General features: G+C 53.1%; 1 protein-coding gene across 6 annotated transcripts in view, besides 2 other annotated features; it reads left to right on the top strand.

The window, feature by feature from the left end:
- Nucleotides 3,090-17,838, top strand: part of NPC1L1 (NPC1 like intracellular cholesterol transporter 1) — a 28,796-nt gene continuing 14,047 nt past the window's right edge. For 2 of the 6 annotated variants that reach the window (NM_001101648.2, NM_013389.3), the window contains exons 1-10: nt 3,090-3,214; nt 4,078-5,603; nt 7,478-7,578; nt 7,992-8,164; nt 8,452-8,580; nt 9,791-9,973; nt 10,567-10,681; nt 10,862-10,989; nt 12,203-12,340; nt 12,576-12,665. In NM_001101648.2, coding sequence (NP_001095118.1) covers nt 3,161-3,214; nt 4,078-5,603; nt 7,478-7,578; nt 7,992-8,164; nt 8,452-8,580; nt 9,791-9,973; nt 10,567-10,681; nt 10,862-10,989; nt 12,203-12,340; nt 12,576-12,665 — 2,637 coding nt within the window. In that variant the 5' untranslated portion in view covers nt 3,090-3,160. Of the gene's footprint in view, nt 3,215-4,077; nt 5,604-7,477; nt 7,579-7,991; nt 8,165-8,451; nt 8,581-9,790; nt 9,974-10,566; nt 10,682-10,861; nt 11,194-12,202; nt 12,341-12,575; nt 12,666-17,838 lie in introns of those variants that run through there. The other 4 variants (XM_047420280.1, XM_011515326.4, NM_001300967.2 and 1 more) reach the window with 4 other exon arrangements.
- Nucleotides 3,797-4,418: an enhancer, noted in NCBI's record as "H3K4me1 hESC enhancer chr7:44579601-44580222 (GRCh37/hg19 assembly coordinates)". NCBI's record gives its function as "activates a minimal SCP1, AML or CMV promoter by ChIP-STARR-seq in naive and primed H9 embryonic stem cells {active_cell/tissue: H9 hESC(naive and primed)}" and the evidence as "EXISTENCE:reporter gene assay evidence [ECO:0000049][PMID:30033119]".
- Nucleotides 9,731-9,800: an enhancer, noted in NCBI's record as "active region_25941". NCBI's record gives its function as "activates an Ori minimal core promoter by ATAC-STARR-seq in GM12878 lymphoblastoid cells {active_cell/tissue: GM12878}" and the evidence as "EXISTENCE:reporter gene assay evidence [ECO:0000049][PMID:35858748]".

The raw sequence follows: 17,838 nt of genomic DNA, 5'->3' as shown, positions 1-17,838 counted from the left end.
TACTGTCTATTGCCATGCGTTTGTTTTCATTTTTAGCTCCTATAAATGAGTGAAAACACATGAAGTTTGTCTTTCTGTGCCTGGCTTATTTCAGTGAGTGATCCTCATGTCTCCAGGGCTTGTCTGTACATGACTCACCTGGGGCAGCCTCTGCCAGGTGTCACCCCGGAGCCAGCAACAAAGGGCTGCTCTGCTGATGGCTGCCTCACCCCCGGCTGCTCCCTCAGTGAACTGGCACAGCTCTGGGCCCCTCTCGGGACCTTCTCAGAGTAGCCACATTTCAGACCTGTCTTATGATTCTAACATCAAACTTATAATATCAATCTTACTAATACCAATAGAAAGTGGAAAATGAGGTATTATCTGGCAGTCATTAAATTAGTAAGTTCTAATGACAAACATAATACACGATGAAGGTGAGACTGTGGGAAGATGGTGCCTTTGCGAGTTGCCCATGTCAGTGGTAAGAGTCACGGCCCTCGGGAAATCACCGAGTCTTCATTACCCAAGACTGGCATCAACCCTTCACCAAATTCCAATAACTGAGAATCTGATAATTACCCAATAAATCCTAGATTAGCCTGAGGAAAGAAATGAGCTGTCCACGTAAGAGTCGTAAACATTGGGCCGGGGCTGGTGGCTCATGCCTGTAATCCCAGCACTTTGGGAGGCCGAGGCAGGCGGATCACGAGATCAGGAGATCGAGACCATCCTGGCTAACATGGTCAAACCCTGTCTCTACTAAAAATACAAAAATGAACCAGGCATGGTGGCACATGCCTGTAGTCCCAGCTACTCGGGAGGCTGAGGCAGGAGAATCATTTGAACCCAAGAGGCAGAAGTTGCAGTGAGCCGAGATTGCGCCACTGCACTCCAGCCTGGCAACAGAGTGAGACTCTGTCTCAAAAAAAAAAAAAAAAAAAAAAGAATGGTAAACATTGTACTCTGACTCACAAATCTCATCTAGGGGAACTTGTTTTAAGGAAATAAATTCAAAGAAGGAGGAAACATTGTTAGGTGCAAAGAAGTCAACCAGAAACTTATTTATCAAAAATGAACTATTGGGAACCGGCTCGACAGTCAGCACCAGAAGAGGAGAAGATCCACGCGTTCTGTGGACCATAACCTAGTCACGGACGTGCTGATCAGAGATTGAAGGCAACAGGGAGGATTTATGTGAAAAGTCAAGAGAAAAAGCAGGATGCATGTACATATCATATGGTTACAGCTCGGCACGTGTGTCCAGAGGCACCGGCAGCTGGGTTGGGAGATCGGGTGTGAAATTTTCACTGTCATTCCGAGCCGGATTGTGCCGCTGTTATGCTGCGTGTGTTTCACAAATGACCCCAGGAGACCACATAGCTGGACTCTATCTCTCTGTGGTGCTAGACTGGGCACAGCTGGGCTCCAGGGGCTTAGCCTAGACAGCCCCCATGGGAAGAAACATATGAAAGGCAGGGTGGGCCTTTCATATCTTTGTTCTGACACAGCTCTGTGCATGCCGACAGTGTCTTCTTGTCGCAAGTGCCCACGGCCCTGCCTAAGGCCCTTTGACACTGAAGGTGCCCGCCACGTGCTGGGGCGAAATCTTCCAGGAATGTCCTCTACCAGTGACAGATGAATGTGGTGGAAAGCTGTCTGTGTCCTTATTCCTTGGAGGGGACCTTCTTGGGCACGTCCCCACCAGTTCCCGGAGGTCCCTGGGGGCAGGAGCAAGCTCTTGGATGCATTCTGGTCAGCTTTCTTCCATCCCCTGGCTCATTCCCCATTCACCGACTGCTGTCATCTGGGGTCATCTCCCCAATAAACTCTTTGCACTGGGATCCTTGTTTCAGGATCTGTTTCTGGAGGAACTAGATGACAACACCGGGAACAGAGGACCTAGAGAGGCAGCTTCATGGGTGGTGGGGTGTCCGCCTCTGCCGGCCAGGGACTTGGGAGCAGTGCTGGGAAGGTGCTGGATGGAGCTGTCACTCACAGGGGCAGGTCCTTGGCTGCTGACTGTCTTCCTCTCCACTATGGCTGTCTTGAGAACTTAGGGGTCAGCCTGACCCTGCCTTGGCCCCCTTCCTCTCAGCCTCTGTCTTCTCCTGCATGAGGCTGGGTGGCTCCCCTGTGAATCAGGCAGGGGTCCACAGAACACTAGAGACAGGTCCCTTCCTGCAGCTGTCTCCAGTAGGTGGCCACGCAGGAGATGTTCCCAACAAGCTGCCCTTATCTGCAGCTCAGCTTTGGTAATGGGGGCCCATTACCAAATGGGGGTAAAGGTCATGGCCCATCCTGGTGATAGTGAGAACCCAAGGTAGGCCTTGAAGATTCCTATCAGGAGGGAGCAGAAAGTGTGTACCACACCCCTGGGCCCAGGTGGAGCAGGGCTGCTGCTCAAGGCTCCCAGCCATGCTCTGTCCCTTGCTAGGGGTGACCGGTGGGACAGGCCTGGGCAAGGGACAAGAGGGAGAAGGTCGGGGGGAAGAGGGGATGAAGAGCAAAGTGAGCAAAGGAGAGTCTTCCACTATCTGGGGTCTCTGTCAACTGTCAGGCCCTAGAGTGAGCTGTTCTTTCCCTTTGCTTCCTGGAGGAGGGGACTTTTGTCACTGCGTCACTCCACCCTGCCTGCCCCTCCGTTATCAGGCTGTTAATATTAATTAACAACAGTTGCTAGGGATGACAGTGCAGAGGGTTCCTCTGAGCCCATTGCTGGCCCTGGTCCCAAGAGGGGGTAGGGCAGAGCTGGGGTCTGAGGCTGAGCCAGGGAGGGTGCGGAGGTTCCTCGGCCATGCTGAGCTCCTGAGGCCGGGTCCCAGCCAGTGCCTGGTCCCATCTGTGCCTCCAGGCCCTGGCACCAACTCCAGCAGTGTTAGGGGCTAATAGCGTGGTCTCTCCCCTAGCTGACTCAGCCCTCTGGCTTCGGTCGCTTTGGGAAGTGAGTGGAGACCCTAGCACCTGCGTGATGAGGCTCATCTAAAGCGGGGGCCTGTGGACTGGGGCCAAACAGTGGGAGTGGTGGATCATTAACCAGCAGGGCTCAGCCTCATTGGTCCCTAACCCAGTCAGGCCAGGGTTGTCATCGAAGGGGAGGAGGCTGCCTTAATGTGTGTTCAGCCCTTGGCTGTTCCTGAGGCCTGGCCTGGCTCCCCGCTGACCCCTTCCCAGACCTGGGATGGCGGAGGCCGGCCTGAGGGGCTGGCTGCTGTGGGCCCTGCTCCTGCGCTTGGTGAGTCCCAGGGCTTGGCTCCACCTCCCCTGCGGCCTCCAGTTAGGGACCCTGGGGCCAGCCGTGTACCAGGCGAGCGTTACTGGGTGACAGCAAGGGAGCCTCAGGGCCTGCGGGCTGGGCAAGTCTCTGGACACATGAGGGATGCCAGGCCCCACAGAGGAGGGGTGCAGGTGGAGGGTTTCCAGGTTACAGGCTTGAATGCACACAGGGGTGAAAGAGGCTGCTGGACTGGGGTGCTCCAAGTCCCTCCTGTCACTGGCCCTACTGTGGGGTCCAGGCCTGCAGTTGAGGGAGGTCTGAGGCAAGGAGGTGCTGGGATGGGGTTACCTGGTGAGCATCACCTAGGGAGGACTGAGCACTCTGGAGGCTGGGAGAAGATCCAGCGCTGGCACCTCTTAAGTTCCTCGCTTACTTTGTGTCTGGGAGGTGGGTGACAGCTTTTGGCCTCAAGCAGGTGGTGGTAGTGGTGGTGGGAGTCGGGGGGCCTCCTGAACAGACTCTCCATGAGAGACCCTGGCCTCTGGATGTGGTGTACAGTGTGGGGACTCAGGCTGACTTTGACGTGGGCAGAGCCCGGGACCTTGGAGTCAGCTTTGCCTCCTTACCCATCTCTGGCCTCTCCAGCATGACTTTCCTAAGCTGCAGGTCTATCAGGCCACCCCCAGGAAGAAAGGCCAGTGTTGTCACTCCAACACTGGCTGGCTGGCACATGCCTCCAGGAGGCTTCCTACTCCCCACACTCCCCGCTTCCCTGCCCCTGCTCCATGTCCTTCTTACCCTCACACCCTCCCTGGCTGCCTGCTGCCTGGATGGCACCCAGCTGTGTCAGGGCCCACGCGTGATGTTGCTGTGCTCTGCAGGCCCAGAGTGAGCCTTACACAACCATCCACCAGCCTGGCTACTGCGCCTTCTATGACGAATGTGGGAAGAACCCAGAGCTGTCTGGAAGCCTCATGACACTCTCCAACGTGTCCTGCCTGTCCAACACGCCGGCCCGCAAGATCACAGGTGATCACCTGATCCTATTACAGAAGATCTGCCCCCGCCTCTACACCGGCCCCAACACCCAAGCCTGCTGCTCCGCCAAGCAGCTGGTATCACTGGAAGCGAGTCTGTCGATCACCAAGGCCCTCCTCACCCGCTGCCCAGCCTGCTCTGACAATTTTGTGAACCTGCACTGCCACAACACGTGCAGCCCCAATCAGAGCCTCTTCATCAATGTGACCCGCGTGGCCCAGCTAGGGGCTGGACAACTCCCAGCTGTGGTGGCCTATGAGGCCTTCTACCAGCATAGCTTTGCCGAGCAGAGCTATGACTCCTGCAGCCGTGTGCGCGTCCCTGCAGCTGCCACGCTGGCTGTGGGCACCATGTGTGGCGTGTATGGCTCTGCCCTTTGCAATGCCCAGCGCTGGCTCAACTTCCAGGGAGACACAGGCAATGGTCTGGCCCCACTGGACATCACCTTCCACCTCTTGGAGCCTGGCCAGGCCGTGGGGAGTGGGATTCAGCCTCTGAATGAGGGGGTTGCACGTTGCAATGAGTCCCAAGGTGACGACGTGGCGACCTGCTCCTGCCAAGACTGTGCTGCATCCTGTCCTGCCATAGCCCGCCCCCAGGCCCTCGACTCCACCTTCTACCTGGGCCAGATGCCGGGCAGTCTGGTCCTCATCATCATCCTCTGCTCTGTCTTCGCTGTGGTCACCATCCTGCTTGTGGGATTCCGTGTGGCCCCCGCCAGGGACAAAAGCAAGATGGTGGACCCCAAGAAGGGCACCAGCCTCTCTGACAAGCTCAGCTTCTCCACCCACACCCTCCTTGGCCAGTTCTTCCAGGGCTGGGGCACGTGGGTGGCTTCGTGGCCTCTGACCATCTTGGTGCTATCTGTCATCCCGGTGGTGGCCTTGGCAGCGGGCCTGGTCTTTACAGAACTCACTACGGACCCCGTGGAGCTGTGGTCGGCCCCCAACAGCCAAGCCCGGAGTGAGAAAGCTTTCCATGACCAGCATTTCGGCCCCTTCTTCCGAACCAACCAGGTGATCCTGACGGCTCCTAACCGGTCCAGCTACAGGTATGACTCTCTGCTGCTGGGGCCCAAGAACTTCAGCGGAATCCTGGACCTGGACTTGCTGCTGGAGCTGCTAGAGCTGCAGGAGAGGCTGCGGCACCTCCAGGTATGGTCGCCCGAAGCACAGCGCAACATCTCCCTGCAGGACATCTGCTACGCCCCCCTCAATCCGGACAATACCAGTCTCTACGACTGCTGCATCAACAGCCTCCTGCAGTATTTCCAGAACAACCGCACGCTCCTGCTGCTCACAGCCAACCAGACACTGATGGGGCAGACCTCCCAAGTCGACTGGAAGGACCATTTTCTGTACTGTGCCAAGTGAGTCCATGGTGGGGCCCAAGCGAGGAGTGGGCTGGGGCTGGGGCTGGGCTGCCATGGCCTCCTGGGAACCTGGCCGGGCATACAGCTGGTCCTGAAGGACCAGAGGTAGCTATTCCTACGGCTCTGGCCTGGGGCCGCCCAGATGATTATCTCTGCCCCTCGTCCGGCCGCCATTTCCTTTGGTCAGAGTTCCTGCTCATGGCTGCAGGTTTGTGCGTGGCCATCGCTGGCCCTTCAACCCCGAGTCCACTCTGTCTTTCTGCAGATTTCTTGACATGTGGGAGCTCCCTGCCACACTCTTGCTTTAAGTCTGACAGAGGAGCCCGATTGGCAGAGTACATATTTATATTTGCTATGTTTTGCTTCTTGTTTCTGTGCCAGGGGCCGTAGGGCCATCAGTAACCCATGAGGTACCATGGTATGCATTGGAAAAGGTGCCCTCAGGCCAGAGGTCGTGGCTGGTCTCAGGCACCTGGGCCGGGTGTCCTGGGGTAGGCCACAGCCACACACACTTCTATTGATTGGGGTTCGGTCTTTGGTTCTGTCCACTCTGGTGTGCTGCCAACAAGATGCCAACAACGCTGCTGGGCCAAGGGGGCCAAGAGCCAAGGGCAGCAGCAGGGCCTTGGCAGTGGAGGCTCCTTGAGGTTGGAGTAGAGCAGAGGTCCTCAAGATGAACGTTTAGTACTCCATACTCCAGAGCAAATGAGAGTTAAAAGGGGCAAATAGCATCTTAGTGTTATTATGAAAACAGTTCTGACCTTACAGACCCTGGAAAGGGTCTCCAGGACGCCTAAGGGCCCCAGGCCACACTTTGAGAACCACTGGATTGGAAGAGAGTGCCGACACTTTCTGTCCCCTGCTACCTGGCTCTGCATCCCTCAGCTGGGCCCCAAGTTTGGGCTGCTTCCCAGAGTGTCTGTGCCAGGAACCCAAGGGCTCTCTCTTGGAAATAGCAGGAACGAGAGGAGCCATTGTTTGCTCTGGGGAGGCATCATGGTCTGACCTCAGACTCATGTCTGACGGTAGCTTTATAGTCCATTATAGGGTATTATCTTTATTTTGACTTCGGATGCTCACAACAACTCTCGGGTGGTCCAATTATCTCCATTTTACAGACAGGAAAACTGAGGTTCAGAGGGGTGTGGTAAGCTGCTCAAGGTCACACAGCAACCAGCACTCGCTTGCTGAGATCTGAGAGAGGGGGGTAGAGAGCTTTGCTCAGGTGTCCCACTGCATCTTCGCAATGACGGGCTTTGCAGAAAGGGCTAAGCTGAAGGACCTACAGACTTGCCTGAGGGCACCAGTCTAGTAAACTGTGAAAACATTGGCTGCTGGGCTCCAGGGTTCCAAATCTAACCTCAATACCTAAAGGGTTTCGGGGGCCCTAGGCAGGAGAAGGAGGCTGAGAGGGCAACGTTTGAGACAGCCCATGCCAGACCCCATGGCTCAAATCCCAGCTCTTCCACCCTCACGGGACTTCAGGTGTGACGCTCAATCCAGAGTCAGATAATGTCAGAGCCAGGAAGGTCAGGCCAGTGTGTGGAGACATGAGAGGCTCAGAGGGACAGGTCCCGGAGCAGCCCCTGCCTGCCACAGAGAAGGCACTCAGGGCAGCTCCAACTCACTCCGTGGGTGGGGGCCTGCAGGAGATCTTGCTGGATGGGAGCCATTTAGGACCCACTCGGCTGGGTCCTAAATAGCTAAATGGCCTAAATGCAGATAGCTGGGCTATCTGCAGCCAGTGTCCCCCACCCCACCAGCTCACCCTCCATAGTGCTGTGGGTCTGGGGTGGGAGGGGAAGGGAGGGGCCATAGGGACTGGGCAGGGCCAGGAAAGGCCCTTTCCCTTTGCGGTCATCTCCCTCTAGTGCCCCGCTCACCTTCAAGGATGGCACAGCCCTGGCCCTGAGCTGCATGGCTGACTACGGGGCCCCTGTCTTCCCCTTCCTTGCCATTGGGGGGTACAAAGGTAAGCTAAGTGGGCCCTGAGAGGAAGCCAAGGAAGATGCAGTATTGGGGCAGGAACCATAGACGGGAGGGTGGGAGTGGTGCTGGGGATTCTCGCGGCCTGGGGGTAGCCTGGCTTCTGGAAGCTGTAGGCCAACCCTGTCCTGTTTCCTCTCTCTGCCATCTCCTTTATCTTCTAGTAGTGTTACTCAGGCACTGTGGTTTTTCTGCCTGGGCCCAAAGGTCTCGCCTTTGGCTGAGAGAAGTGGGGTGTAGGAGGTAAGGCCATGTATCAGATGAGGAAGGAGTGGGGGAGAAGGAGCAAGGGGTGATGGGAGGGGTGCAGCTAGATAGGGGGAGGGAATATAGGGGTGCAGCTGGAGGGGGAGGGAGGCACGGGTGCAGCAGGAAGGGTCTGAGTATTTCTTATCCCAGGAAAGGACTATTCTGAGGCAGAGGCCCTGATCATGACGTTCTCCCTCAACAATTACCCTGCCGGGGACCCCCGTCTGGCCCAGGCCAAGCTGTGGGAGGAGGCCTTCTTAGAGGAAATGCGAGCCTTCCAGCGTCGGATGGCTGGCATGTTCCAGGTCACGTTCATGGCTGAGGTAGGGGCTGCAGGGTCCCTGGCTCTGGGGGTGCAACCCAGGTGGTCTTGGGTCAGTTCCTGTGTCCCCATCCTGGCCCTGGCCCTTCCTAAGTGACCCTGGGCAGTGGCTGCCTGCTCAGAACGGGGTGATTGTGATGGCTGTTCTTATAGCCTCACCTGCGATTATAGGGGGCCATCAGGCCCTATGACACAACACACAATTAGTGCCCAGTGACCGAGCTATTGAGAGCTGGCCTGGCTGAAGCAGGCACGGTCAGTGGGGGCTGGTCGGGTGTGTGTCCACAGCGCTCTCTGGAAGACGAGATCAATCGCACCACAGCTGAAGACCTGCCCATCTTTGCCACCAGCTACATTGTCATATTCCTGTACATCTCTCTGGCCCTGGGCAGCTATTCCAGCTGGAGCCGAGTGATGGTGAGAAGCGGGAGGGACACAGCTAAGTGGGCTAGCCCAGGACCCCAGGCATCTTCAGTAGGCCTTCTACAACTTTCCTAACCACAGCACCTCAGAACAGCAAAGTGGACACACCCAAGTGGCTGCCCCAAAGGGTAATACCTCTTGCAAGTGTTCTGTGCTGAAAGGTCAAGAGCAATTTTCTTTTCTTTTCCTTTCTTTTTCTTCTCTTTTCTTTGCTTTTCTTTTCTCTTCTCTTTTCCCTCCTACCCTCTCTTTCTCTTTCTTTTCTTTCTCTCTCTGTTTCTCTTTTTCTCTCTTTCTTTCTTTTGAGACAGGGTCTTGCTCTGTTGCCCAGGCTGGAGTGCAGTGGCATGATCTTAGCTCACTGCAACCTCAAAACTCCTGGGCACAAGTGATCCTCCTGCTTCAGCCTCCCAAGTAGTTGGGACTATAGGCACTTGCCATTGTGCCCAGCTATTTTTTTTTTTTTTTTGAGACAGAGCTTTGCTCTTGTTGCCCAGGCTGCAGTGTAACGGCGCGATCTCGGCTCACTGCAACCTCCGCCTCCTGGGTTCAACAATTGTCCTGCCTCAGCCTCCCGAGTAGCTGGCATTACAGGCATGTGTCACCACGCCTGGCTAATTTTGTGTTTTTAGTAGAGATGGGGTTTCTCCATGTTGGTCAGACTGGTCTTGAACTCCTGGCCTCAGGTGATCCGCCCACCCAAAGTGCTGGGATTACATGCGTGAGCTACCACGTCCGGCCATTTTTTTTGTTTTGTAGTTTTTGTAGAGATGGGGTCTCGCTTTTTGCCTAGGCTGGTCTCAAACTCCTGGGCTCAAGTGATTCTTCCTCATCAGCCTCCCAAAATGTTGAGATTACAGGTGTGAGCCAGCACACCTGGCCTAAGAGCAGTTTTCTGTCTGTTACATGCCATACCCTCACTTGCCCAAATGCAAAGCTAAGACTTAAAATCTCTTGCAATGCATGCTCAAGGAAGATGGAGTAGGCTCACCCATGCCTTTGGGTTTCCTGGACCTCCCCTTGGGAGGATGGCTCTGCAGAGGGGCTTTAATGTGAGATGTGAGCTCCTCACCACTGGGGGCAGTATCGGGCACCTGCAGGCACTGAGGGTGCCTGCCGGCTACTTTGTCTGGCCTAGCTGAGGCTGGTGGGCATACTGGGTAGGTGCTAAGTGGCTAGGGGGCTGAGCCTGTTTGCATTGCAGGTGGACTCCAAGGCCACGCTGGGCCTCGGCGGGGTGGCCGTGGTCCTGGGAGCAGTCATGGCTGCCATGGGCTTCTTCTCCTACTTGGGTATCCGCTCCTCCCTGGTCATCCTGCAAGTGGTTCCTTTCCTGGTGCTGTCCGTGGGGGCTGATAACATCTTCATCTTTGTTCTCGAGTACCAGGTAAGAAGGGAGGAGCTCTCCACACCCCCAACTGCCCACTCTTCTCCCAACCTCACCTCCTGGCCTGATGGGACTCTGGCGTGAATTTGCTGGGTCTCCCTGCAGACTCTTTCTGTTCATCGACACGCATGTTTACAATATCTGTAGAAACTAGAGTGTGTTGACATAAATGACTTCATCCTGCCTCTACCATCTGGAATTAGCTTTCTGTTAACCCCTTGCAATGTCTAGTAAAACCTCTCCATGTTAGTACATTACAGCCTCCTCCTGTCTTTATGCTGCTAGGTAGCATTCCATGGTAAGGATAAATCAGAGTCGATTTCACCTCTCCCTGTTGGTGAACAATTAGGGTTCCAACAGTGCTTGGAACAGGGATGCTATAGACATCTCAAATGCACCAACCATTTCTCCCAGCCAGACCCTGGAAGAAGAATATTGGCCATGGAGAGTATGAGAGTCTCTGATGATTCAGGAAGGTCAGAGCAGCTCCTCAGGCCTGGCTGCAGCTCTGGGCACTTGCCAACTCCCTGCTGGCCTTTGAGGGGCGGTGCCCTTGGAGGGCCCTGGCTCTTATCCCTGCTGTTCCCACACAGAGGCTGCCCCGGAGGCCTGGGGAGCCACGAGAGGTCCACATTGGGCGAGCCCTAGGCAGGGTGGCTCCCAGCATGCTGTTGTGCAGCCTCTCTGAGGCCATCTGCTTCTTCCTAGGTGAGCCTGGGTGAGACCTCCCCACTCGGCATTAGGCTTGCTGGGTTAGTGCCGGGGCCTAGGAGTTCCCAGAGGGCAGTGGGTATAGTGCAGATTCCCTTCCCCCTGCACCCTGTCAATGTCGGCTACCACTCTGCCCTTGAAGCCAGGGTGCCCTGACAGCCCTCTGCTCCCTCACAGGGGCCCTGACCCCCATGCCAGCTGTGCGGACCTTTGCCCTGACCTCTGGCCTTGCAGTGATCCTTGACTTCCTCCTGCAGATGTCAGCCTTTGTGGCCCTGCTCTCCCTGGACAGCAAGAGGCAGGAGGTAGGGGCAGCTGGGCCAGTACTGAGGGACCTGCCCCTGGGTTCCCACCATGGCAGGGAGATGGGGTGGCTTTACCACCACAGAGATGGCCCAGAGAATGGGGTGGGGGACAGGGGCATTGTGCCAGGAGAGTAATATTTAGGCCATGTATTCTCCAATTTCCTACAGAAAAATAAATTTGTTTTGACAATTTTTTAAATATAATCAAACCTCCTAAAGTGCATGATGTTGAGAAATAAAATACAGTTGACCCTTGAACAATGTGGAGATTAGGGCACCGACTGTCTAAGCAGTTGAAAATCTGCATGTAACTTTTTTTTTTTTTGAGACGGAGTTTCACTCTGTCACCCAGGCTGGAGTGCAATGGCGTGATATCAGCTCACCACAACCTCTGCCTCCCGGGTTCAAGCGATTCTCCTGCCTCAGCCTCCCAATTACTGGGATTACAGGCCCCCTCCTCCTGCACGCCTGGCTAATTTTTGTGTTTTTAATAGAGATGGGGTTTCACCATGTTGGTCAGGTTGGTCTCGAACTCCTGACCTCAGGTGATCTGCCCACCTTGGCCTCCCAAAGTGCTGGCGTGAGCCACCATGCCTGGTCTGCATGTAACATTTGACCCTTCTAAACTTAATTCCTACTAGCCTACTATTGACTGGAAGCCTTAATGATAACATAAATAGTCGATAACACATCTTTTGAATGTTATATGTATTATAAACTGTATTCTTACAATAAAGGAAGCAAGAAAAAAGAAAATGTTAGTAAGAAAATCATAAGGAAGAGAAAATCTATTTACTATTCACGAAGTGAAAGTGGATCATCATGAGGGTCTTCATCCTCGTCGTCTTCAGGTTGAGTAGGCTGAGGAAGAGGAGGAAGAGGAGGGCTTGATCTTGCTGTTTCAGGGGCGGCAGAGGTGGAAGAGAATCCAGGGATAAGTGAGCCCAGGCAGTTCAAACTCGTGTTGTTCAAGGGTCAGCTGTATAAATGAGAGGTCGACAGGAGTTGATCTGTTGGTTCCCATGATGGTGTAAAATTTAAAGATATTTTATCAAGATTAAAATAAAAGCAAAGAAAACAGCACACTGGTATGTCTCCATGAGGGCACTGGCACGGGCCACCCACAGAAGGTGACACTCCCTGGGGGCAAGAAGGTGGTCCCTGGGGCCTTGTCTGCTCTGGGACTACCTTGAGGGGGTGCCTCCCACTCCAGGCCTCCCGGTTGGACGTCTGCTGCTGTGTCAAGCCCCAGGAGCTGCCCCCGCCTGGCCAGGGAGAGGGGCTCCTGCTTGGCTTCTTCCAAAAGGCTTATGCCCCCTTCCTGCTGCACTGGATCACTCGAGGTGTTGTGGTGAGTGGGCCTCGAACCACACGAGAGCAGGGGCACTAGGTGGGGACCTCGCCTCAGGGAGAGCAGGGTTGGAGGTGGGGAGGTTGCCTAGGCCCAAATGCTGATACTTGGGGCTGGCACGCAAGTCTGCTCAACTCCAGAATGTTGCCCATGACACCCTGACTGACTTAAATTTGTGGGGAGATGGGGGACGGCTGTTGGGCAGGGTGGTCTCATGCAGCAGGTCCCTTCTCAGCTGCTGCTGTTTCTCGCCCTGTTCGGAGTGAGCCTCTACTCCATGTGCCACATCAGCGTGGGACTGGACCAGGAGCTGGCCCTGCCCAAGGTGAGCCCAGGCCCTTCTCAACCCTTAGGCCCCTGGGATTTGGGGAGGGGCAGTAGCAACCAGCAGGGATGGGTTGGGGGGTCCTCCGGCCAGGGGCTTGGCCAGAGGTGCAGAATTGTTCATTACTCTGGAGGCACCTCCAGCAGTCCTGGGGAGTGAAGCCACATTCGTGTATGAACAGCACAACAGCCAGGTGCCAGCCCCAGGCCACAGTAAGAGAGATGGCCCAGGCATCGGAGGGCTGTCCATGTGAGATGGCAGGCCACAAAGAATGACTGCCACTTTGCTGAGTGCCTGCCCAGTGTCCAGCCCTGCGAATTCTCTGGGCCTGAAGCCCGGGGAGGGCAGGGGTTCAGGGGAAGGAAAGCCCCGTGGTTGGAGGGGACCTCCAAGGTCACATAGGATTTGCAGAGGAAAGTGATGACAGACTCGCCAGTGGGAGGCTAGGGTGAGCCCAGGTGTGTTTCCTGGGCGTGGCAGCGACTGTGGGGGTGGGATGAGCTGGAGGCCAAGGGCATGGTCGGGGAGAGTGCTGATTGCCCAGCCTGGACCAGTAAGTGTGCGGGCCAACAGGCACAATGCATCAGCCAAGGCTGGGGACCCGGCTCCTCTGGATATGCATCAGCGGTGGCCATGGGCTGGTGGCCAAGAGGAAGCAGCCACAGACAACAAAGTCTGAGACACATGGTCAGACTGCATGAGCAAGCTCTAGGGAGAGGGAAGGCATCGAGGGGACTCGATGTCTAGGTCCCATCTGGGGAACTGTGATGGAGGTTTGGGCAAGGGTCTGGGTACTGGCAGGAGCCCCAGTGGAAGCAGCCAGGCCTGAGCCCACAACAGGGCTGAGTGGGGTGCGGCTGGGGTAGGTGTGTTAGGCAGTACTGGCCTGGGGTCCTGGAAGCCAGGTGAGGGAGGACAAGAGCAGATGGCTCAGGACTGTACTTTGGGTGACTTTATGGAGGGAGAGCAGGTGAGGAGTCACAGAATGAACCTGCCACCTGCAGAAGCCCTGGGGGCTATGTCACAGGGCTGAGGTGAAGAGGGTCTCTAGTGCCCCAAGAGCAAGAAGGAAGGATGTGATGGGCTGCCAGACCCTGCTGAGGTTTTATGTTGATGTCTTTTGTTTATTTTTCTGTTGGGGACATTTGTTTCTTACTGCTTTTAAAAATTTTATCATTTTTTTTCCGTTTTTTATTGTGGTAAAATACACATAATAGAAAATTACCATTATAACCATTTTTAAGTGTACAGTTCAGTGATATTAAGTACACTCATACTATTCAACTATCACCACCATCCATCTCCAAAACTCTTTCCTTTTTGCAAAATTGAAACTTTACCCAACAAACAGTGACTCCCCATTCTCCCCTCCCCTCAGCCCCTGACACAACCACCTTTTATTTATTTATTTATTTTGAAACAGAGTTTCACTCTTGTTGCCCAGGCTGGAGTGCAATGGTGTGATCTCGGCTCACCGCAATCTCCGCCTCCCGGGTTCAAGTGATTCTCCTGCCTCAGCCTCCCAAGTAACTGGGATTACAGGTGGCCGCCACCACGCCCAGCTAATTTTTGTATTTTTAGTAGAGACAGGGTTTCACCATGTTGGCCTGGCTGGTCTTGAACTTCTGACCTCAGGTGATCCACCAGCCCTGGCCTCCCAAAGTGCTGGGATTACAGGTGTGAGCCACCGCACCTGGCCTCTACTTTTTCTTTTTTTTTTTGAGATGGAGTCTTGCTCTGTCACCCAGGCTGGAGTGCAATGGTGCAGACTCGGCTTACTGCAGCCTCCACCTCCCAGGTTCAAGCGATTCTCCTGACTCAACCTCCTGAGTAGCTGGGACTACAGCCGTGTGCCACCACTCCCAGCTAATTTTTGTACTTTTAGTAGAGACAGGGTTTCGCCATGTTGGCCAGGCTGGTCTCGAACTCTGGACCTTGTGATCTGCCTGCTTTGCCCTCCCAAAGTGCTGGGATTACAGGCATGAACCACTGTGCCCGGCCCATTTACTTTCTGTTCTATGAGTTTGACCACTCTAGGCACCTCAGGTAAGTGAACTCATACAATATTTATTTTTTTGGCTGGGAGTGGTGGCTCACTCCTGTAATCCCAGCACTTTGGGAGGCTGAGGCAGGCAGATCACCTGAGGTCAGGAGTTTGAGACCAGCTTGACCAACATGGAGAAACCCCATCTCTACTAAAAATACAAAGTTAACTGGGCATGGTGGCACATGCCTGTAATCCCAGCTACTCAGGAGGCTGAGGCAGGAGAATCACTTGAACCTGGGAGGCAGAGGTTGTGGTAAACTGAGATCACGCCATTGCACTCCAGCCTGGGTAACAGAGTGAGGATTCGTCTCAAAAAAAAAAAAAAAGTATATTTTGTCTGATCTTAGTATAGCTACCCCTATTCTCTTTTGGTTACTATTTACATGGAATATCTTTTTTCTGTTCTTCCACTTTCAATCTATTTGTGTTTTTGGACCTAAGGTGAGTCTCTTGGAGACAGCATATAGTTAGATCACGTTTTGCTGTTTTTTAGCAGATGGGGGCTGCCTAGGGCACAGTATGCTGACTCTCACAATCTCGATCGTGTGTGTGTGTGTGTGTGTGTGTGTGTGTGTGTGTGTGTGTGTGTGTGTGTGTTTAATTCATTCTACCACTCTTTTTTTTCTTTTTTTTTTTTGAGATGGAGCCTCAGTCTGTCACCCAGGCTGGAGTGCAGTGGAGCGATCTCAGCTCACTGCAACTTACACCTCCCGGGTTCAAGCAATTCTCCTGCCTCAGCCTCCTGAGTAGCTGGGATTATAGGTGCATGCCACCATGCCTGGCTAATTTTTTTGTATTTTTTGTAGAGACAGGGTTTCACCATGTTGGCCAGGCTGGCCTCAAACTCCTGACTTTGAGTAATCCACCCACCTCGGCTTCCCAAAGTGCTGGGATTACAGGCGTGAGCCACCATGCCTGGTCCTACTACTCTCTTTTGATTGGAGAGTTTAATCCATTTACATTTACAGTAATTATTGATAAGGAGGGATTTACTTCTGTCATTTTGCTATTTGTTTTCTATATGCCTTGTAGATTTTTTGTTTCTCATTTCCTGCATTACTGACTTATTTTGTGCTTAGTTGATTGCTACTAGTGAAATTTTACATTTTCCTTCTCATTTTCTTTTGTGCATAGTCTACAGCTAATTTTATTTGTGATTACCATGGGGATTATCTTAAATGTGCTGAAGTTATAACACTCTAAATTTATGCCAACTTTGTTTCCATAGCATACAAAAACTCTGCCCTATAACAACTCCATCTTACCTCCCTTTCAGTTATTGATGTCACAAAATTATATCTTGAGCTAGCCATGGTGGCTTATGCCTGTAATCCCAATGCTTTGAGAGGTGGAGGCAAGAGGATTGCTTGAGGCCAGGAATTTGAGGCCAGCCTAGCCAACACAGTGAGATCCCATCTCTAGAAAAAATTTAAAATTTAGCTGGGCAAGATGGCACGTGCCTGTAGTCCCAGCTATGTGGGAGGCTTGCTTGAGTCCAGGAATTCAAGTATGCAGTCAGCTATGATCATGCCACTGTACTCCAGCCTGAGCAACAGAGAGACACCTTGTCTCAAAAAATTTTATTTTTCAGCTGGGTGTAGTGGCTCATGGCTGCAATCCCAGCACTTTGTGAGGTGGTTGGATCACTTGAGGCCAGGAGGTCAAGATTAGCCTGGCCAACATGACAAAACCCCATCTCTACTAAAAATACAAAAATTAGCCAGGCATGGTGGCACACAACTGTAAACCTAGCTACTTGGGAGGCTGAGACATGAGAATTGCTTGAATCTAGGAGGTAGAGGTTGCAGTGAGCTGGGATCGTACCACTGTACTCCAGCTTGGGCGACAGAGCGAGACTATGTCTCAAAAACTTTTGTATTTTTATGCATTATGTATCCAAAATCATAGGCTAATGATTTTTTTTGCATGAGTCTCTTAAATCATGTACAAAAAGGTGGAGTTATAAATCATAACATTTATAACTGCCCATTTATTTACCTTTGCCAGGGATTTATTTATTTATTTAAAGAGGCAGAGTCTTGCTCTGTTGCCCAGGCTGAGATGCAGTGGTGTGATCATAGCTCACTATAACCTCAAACTCCTGGCCTCAAAAGATCCTCTCACCTCAGCCACCTGAAGTACTGGGATTACAGGTGTAAGCCACTATGCCTAGCCAAGGGATTTTTATTTCTTCATACATCTTTGAGTTACTGCTGATGTCTTTTTTTTTTTTTTTTTTTTTTTTTGAGAAGTTGTTTTGCTCTTGTTGCCCACCCAGGCTGGAGTGCAGTGGCATGATCTCAGCTCACCGCAACCTCTGCCTCCCGAGTTCAAGCGATTCTCCTGCCTCAGCCCCCCGAGTACTGGGATTACAGGCATGTGCCACCACGCCAGGCTAATTTTGTATTTTTAGTAGAGATGGGGTTTCTCCATGTTGGTCAGGCTGGTCTTGAACTCCCAACCTCAGGTGATCTGCCCGCCTTGGCCTCCCAAAGTGCTGGGATTACAGGCATGAGCCACCATGCCTGGCCTGTCTAATGTCTTTTTATTTCAACCTACAGGATTCCTTTTAGCATTTCTTTCAGGGAAGGTCTAGTGATAACGAATTCCTTCAGCTTTTGTTTATCTGAGAATGTCTTAATTTCACCCTCATTTTAATTTTTTAAAATTTTTTATTTATTTTGAGATGGAGTTTCACTCTTGTCGCCCAGGCTGGAGTACAATGGTGTGATCTCAGCTCACTGCAACCTCTGCCTCCTGGGTTCAAGTGATTCTCCTGCCTCAGCCTCCTGAGTAGCTGAGATTACAGGTGCATGCCACCATGCCAGGCTAATTTTTGTATTTTTAATAGAGACGGGGTTTTACCATGTTGGCCAGGCTGGTCATGAACTCCTGACCTCAGGTGATCCACCCACCTTGGCCTCCCAAAGTGCTAGGATTACAGGTGTGAGCCACTGTGCCCGGCCCATTTTTATTTTTTAATTAAAACAATTTTTTTGAGATGGGGGTCTCACTGTGTTACTCAGGCTGGTCTCGAACTTTTGGGCTCAGGTGATCCTCGTGTCTCAGCCTCCCAAAGTATTGGGATTATAGGACGAATCACCTCATCTGGCATCTCCCTCATTT

Source organism: Homo sapiens, chromosome 7 (genome assembly GCF_000001405.40).
Source record: "Homo sapiens chromosome 7, GRCh38.p14 Primary Assembly".
In the NCBI taxonomy this organism is placed as follows: domain Eukaryota; kingdom Metazoa; phylum Chordata; class Mammalia; order Primates; family Hominidae; genus Homo; species Homo sapiens.
This window is presented reverse-complemented; position numbering and strand designations above follow the sequence as displayed.